The sequence below is a fragment of the Homo sapiens genome, chromosome 7, assembly GCF_000001405.40.
Source record: "Homo sapiens chromosome 7, GRCh38.p14 Primary Assembly".
In the NCBI taxonomy this organism is placed as follows: Eukaryota; Metazoa; Chordata; class Mammalia; order Primates; family Hominidae; genus Homo; species Homo sapiens.
Window position 1 is genome coordinate 29742700 of NC_000007.14, and position 6000 is coordinate 29748699.

At 42.7% G+C, this 6000-nt stretch overlaps 1 annotated feature.

Moving 5' to 3' along the window:
- Positions 5274-5568: a silencer, noted in NCBI's record as "tiled region #13440; K562 Repressive DNase matched - State 12:CtcfO". NCBI's record gives its function as "represses a minimal TATA promoter and a strong SV40 promoter by Sharpr-MPRA in K562 cells {active_cell/tissue: K562}" and the evidence as "EXISTENCE:reporter gene assay evidence [ECO:0000049][PMID:27701403]".

Genomic DNA, 6000 nt, shown 5'->3' on the forward strand with positions numbered 1-6000 from the left:
GCAAAGTCCTGCCCAAGTGGACCCAGCGGCAAAGGTGAGGGACCCCAATTGCAGGAGTATGTGTTGCTTGGGCTCCTGGGAGCTGCAGTTGGAGCTGGCATTCCTGGGGACCAAATAACACAGTGTGCAGCAGAAGAGACATCCCCAGAGCTGGGAAGGTCTGGATCGAGTGTATTCGTTTCTTAGGGCAACTGTAAGAAAGTACCACAAACTGGGTGGTTTAAAACAACAGAAACTTGTCTCACAGTTCTACAGACTCAAAGTTCAAAATCAAGGTGTCAGCAGAGCCATGCTCTCTAGGGAATTTAAAGTCTCTAGGGAATAATCTTTCCTTGCTTCTAACTCCTTTGGTTGCCAACCTTGGCATTCCTTGGCTTATGCAAGCCCTGCCTCTGTCTTCACATGGCCTTATTTCACCTGTGTCTCCTCTGTGTTCTCAAATTTCTCTGCTTGTAAGGACACCAGTCATAGGATTTAGGGCCCATCGTATTCCAGTATGACCTCATTCGAGTGCAGTGGCACCATCTCAGCTCACCACAACCTCCGCCTCTCAGGTTCAAGCGATTCTCCTGCCTCAGCCTCCCAAGTAGCCGGGATTACAGGCTCACACCATCACACTGGGGTAATTTTTGAATTTTTAGTAGAGATGGGGTTTCACCATGGTGGTCTGGCTGGTCTCAAACTCCTGACCTCAAATGATCTGCCCGCCTCGGCCTCCCAAAGTGATGGGATTACAGGTGTGAGCCACCACACCCAGTCTGACCTCATCTTGATTACATCTGCAAAGACCTCTTCTCTAAATAAAGGCACATTCACAGGTACTGGGGTTAGAAGCTCAACATGTCTTTTGGGGCTGCCCACAGTGGCTCATGCCCGTAATCCCAGCATTTTGAGAGGCCAAGGCGGGCGGATCACCTGAGGTCAGGAGTTCGAGACCAGCCTGGCCAACATGGTGAACCCCATCTCTACTAAAAATACAAAAAATTATCTAGGCATGGTGGCAGGCGCCTATAATTCCAGCTACTGAGGAGGCTGAGGCAGAAGAATTGCTTGAACCTGGGAGGCAGAGGCTGCAGTGAGCTGAGATCATGTTACTGCACTCCAGCCTGGGCAACAGAGCGAGACTCTGTTAAAAAAAAAAGTCTTTTGGGAGAAGAGAATTGATGCATAACACAAGCAAAGTGACCAAACCCAGGAAAAGCCAGCTGTAAAACCAGCCAGGGTGGGAGCCCAAGGCCATCCAGTAGATGAGAGCTGTCTAATGGTCTAATGCCCACGTCTCCTCCGCCCTCTGGCCTTGGCCTTGGGAAGCAACGCTCAGCAAGGGAGAGGCGGTGGGGATGGGCAAGGAGCAAGACAGATGGTCACACCTGTCTCCCCAAAAGCAGACAGCCAAGGACTGCACTCTGTAGCAGGAAAAAGATGTTCTGTCTTTAAGCACTACATTGTTAATTAATATCTTGGACTAAGCATTCCAGAAAAACTTCTTATTTTGGAAACGTTTAAGCATACAAAACTAGAGGAAACAGAATACCGAGTTCCCTATGTACCCATTGCCCAGCTTCAACAATTATCAACTCAAGGCCAATCATTTTTTTTTAATCTACACCCTCACCCACTCCTCCCTCTCATAGGCTTCTTTTCATGTAAATCCCAGATATATAATCTGGAGATATTTCATTCAGTTATTTCAACATGTCTCTGAAAGAGAAAAACTGTTTTAAAAATAAAACAACAACAGACACCGAGGCCTATGCGAGGTCTCAGGTAGGGAGGAGGGAGAGGAGCAGAAAAAAATAACCACTGGGTACTAGGCTTAGTACCTGGGTGATAAAACAGTCTGTACAACAAACCCCCATAACACGAGTTTACCTGTATAACAAACCTGCACATGTACCCATGAGCCTAAAATAAAAGTTTAAAAAACAAAAATTTAAAAAACCCCACATTATTGTAGCCTCAAAATTAAAAACAATCCCTTAACATCAAATATCTACTGAATGTTCAAATATTCCTGTTTGATGTGTAAAACTTCTCATATGTTTTCTTTGTTCACCTGAAGATCCAAAAAGATCTCTTCACACATTGCAATTAGTAATTTCTTGTAAGTCACTTTTAACCTGTAGGTTCCTCTCTCCTCCTCATCTTTTTTTCTTACAACTTTTTATAAAGAAACTGAGTGTTTCTCCTATAGCGTGTCCCAGTGTGGCTATTGCTTATTGCACTCCATGCTGTTCTTCTATGCTTTCCCATGTATTTTCTATAAATTGGATGTTAAATCCGGAGCAGTGATTCTCAAAGGTAGCCCACTATAATTATCTGAGGAGCTCTTGAAAACCCTGAAGCCGGCCGGGCACGGTGGCTCACACCTGTAATCCCAGCACTTCAGGAGGCCGAGGCGGGCGGATCACCTGATGTCAGGAGTACGAGACCAGCCTGGCCAACATGGTGGAACCCCAACTCTACTAAAAACACAAAAATTAGCCAGGTGTGTTGCTGGGTGCCTGTAGTCCCAGCTACTCAGGAGGCTGAGGCAGGAGAATCACTTGAACCCGGGAGGCAGAGGTTGCAGTGAGCTGGGATCACGCCTCTGTACTCCAGCCTGGGCAACAGAGTGAGACTGGGTCTCAAAAAAATAAAATTAAATAAATAAATAAATAAATAAATAAATAATTAAATAAATATCCCTGAAGCCCAGGCAAATCCAAGAGCAATTATACCAGAGACTCTGGGGGGAACTGAGACACAGGAATTTTTTAAACTACCTCAGATGATCCCAGTATGCAACCAACATTGAAAACCACTGATCTACAGTTTTGATCATATTTAGGCTCAGTTTTTTCCCCTCTGGCATAGGACGGTTTCTTGTATACCTTACATTGGATATTCAAAATTTCCAAATGGACGGAAGAAAATGTGGAAGTGTCCATCACCTATGACTGACCAGAGAGCCTCTAGAATGGCCCTATTCTTCATCTAGTGGCAAGAGATGATTACCCCCCACTAGACAAGTTCTGAAGAGACGAAGGGAAGAAAAATAAAGCATGTTTAATCATGTCACAAATTGCCCTTGATCAATGAGCCAGTAACACATAAGTGGATAGAAAAATATCTAGAAGGGTCGGCACAAAATTAATATCATGACTACCTCTGGGAAGTGACTGCGTTTGGTGTGGCAGCAGTCGTGTTTGTGTGTGTGTCCATAAGGGGTTTTAGCCTTACCTCTGGCTTGTAAGCTTTAGATTGAGAATAAAATCATGTATTAAGTCAGTGAAAAGAAAGAACAAATGATGGCTTTTTAACAACAAAATTTCGTATTTTCTATTTAAAAAGTACTCATTACAGAAAATTTGAAAAATAGGAGAAGAAAAAAAAGTCATCACCTATAAATTCCTCACTCAAAGATAAGCATCGTTGTGGAATTGGAGTTTATTATGGTAAGTGAAATAAGCCAAGCACAGAAAGAAAAACTGCATGTTCTCATTTTTTTGTGGGAGCTAAAAATTAAAACAATTGAAGTCACAGAGGCAGAGAGTAGAATGGTGGTTACCACAGGCTGGGAAGGGTAGTTGGGTATTGGGGGGAAGTGGACATGGTTAATGGGTATAAAAAATAGTGCCAGGTGTGGTGGCTCACACCTGTAATCCCAGCACTTTGGGAGGCCGAGGCAGGAGGATCACTTGAAGCCAGGAGTTTGAGACCAGCCTGGCCAACGTGGTGAAACCCCTGTCTCTACTAAAAATACAAAAATTAGCTGGGCATGCTGGCATGTGCCTGTCATCCCAGCTACTCAGGATACTAAGGGAGGAGAATCGCTTGAGCCCGGGAGGCAGAGGTTGCAGTGAGCCGGGATCACACCTTTTGCACTCCAGCCTGGGTGACAGAGTGAGGCTGTCTCAAAAAAAAAAAAAAAAGTAATAATGAATAAGACCTAATATTTGATAGCACAACAGGGTGACTATAGTCAAAAATAATGTAATTTTACATTTTAAAATAAAACAGTATAATTGAATTGTTTGTAAGACAAAGGATAAACACTTTAGGTGATGGATGTCCTATTTACCTTCATCTGATTATTACACATTGCATACCTGTATGAAAATATCTCATGTAACCCATAAATATATACACCCCTTATGTATCCACAAAAAATAAAAAAGCTGAAAATAAAACAAAAAAGCCAAAGATAAACATTGTTAGTATTTGGTCTATTTATCTCCAGACTTCATGTTATGTATTTTTAAACTTAACTTATGGACAAAACTCCTTCCCTTGATTTTTTAAACTTCCTCTCTCTGGCCTGGTCGCAGCCACTAGATACCCATATATTAATATTTGTCCTCTAACCAGGGCCGGGCACGGTGGCTCACGCCTGTAATCCCAGCACTTTGGGAGGCCGAGGTGGGCAGATCACCTGAGGTCAGGAGCTGAAGACCAGCCTGGCCAACATGGTGAAACCCCATCTCTACTAAAAAATACAAAAAATCAGTTGGGTGTGGTGGCAGCCGCCTGTAATCCCAGCTACTCAGGAGGCTGAGGCAGGAGAATGGCTTGAACCCAGGAGGCAGAAGTTGCAGGGAGCCGAGATCGTGCCATTGCACTACAGCCTGAGCAACAAGAGCAAAACTCTGTTTCAAAAAAAAAAAAAGAAAAAGAAAACTTTAATAATATTCCATAATACTTGTTTTATTACTATTTTATAATAATCGACATTTATTGCTATGTTATAATAATCGACATTTATCCTTTATCAGTTATAATTCTCACAAAAGCTTGATGATGTGAGTTATTTTATCATTTGCATTTTACAGATGAGGAAACAGGTTTGGAGAAGATAAATACCTTGCCCAAAAATGTAGCATGTCCAATCCTCTTTCCTCAGCTAGAGGCTGGGATGAAGCTGGCCAAGGGAGTGTCTTCTCCCTAAAGTTGCAAGTATTTCAGAATCAGGAGCCCTGCAGAGTCCTGAGTTAAAGAGTGAGCCAAAAGTGATGTTTCAGAGAAGGGCAAGGGCTAAGAAGCTGATCCCAAAGTCCACACAACAGACCCAGAGAATCTGTCAACTACGGAGATGAAAGCAGGGATGATGCATGGAAGGGAGGGAAGTTTCCAGGCTAACACCTGGGGTAGCGGTGTCACTCCTGTCTGTGTTTAGTATGCCCAGAGGGGCCAGGTGTGGGTGGGCAGTCCAGAGCTGAAACCAACCCATTTCCATGCACTGCTTAGTACAGAATGCCAAGTAAAGGCTTCCGTTATTTCTTTGAAACGGTGCTGCCAAGTAATTGTCATAGAACATTTATGGGTCTGTCCTTCCGCCCCTCCCTTCCTGCTTTCCCCTGGAATAGCAAGCAGAGCTGGTTGTAAAGGTCAGTACATTTTCCTGGGTGCTCTGGAGTAAATAAAGCCATTTCCTCCAGCCTACAGTGATGAGCTATTCCTGGTTGGGTAATCTTGACCTCTGACCTATGGATTTGTGCACCTAGGAAAGGATTTACTTTATTTAGTTAAGAGTTTGGAAGAAATGCTTTCTGTGTACTGCATAAGTATCCAATGTCTGTTTCTTATTATGTTTGCTTTACAGTTAACCATGGAAAGAATAAAATCAAATGGAAAAATGTAGCAACACGGCTGTCTACAAAACAGAAAAGAAATCTTAAAGGTATTTTAAGAGGTAAAGATGTTAGTTATTAATTTTTTGTTATATACAGCAGCCAGAAGGCAAAGAACCTTTTAGGATGTTTTCCTTGGTATGGCCAGACAGAGGAGCTATTTTGAATAAGTAGCAGCAGAGGGCACTCTTCCTACGGGTTAGTTTCTATCCTCACTTCTCCAGGGAAAACACTTGTTAAAATGCCTGTGTATATATATATGTTAACAAGTTTATGGCCCTTTAAAAAATAGATGACAGATTAGATAGATGATAAATAGATAGATAGGCAGATAGATAGAAGATAGATGATAGAGATAGAAGATAGATGATAGAGATAGATGATAGATATG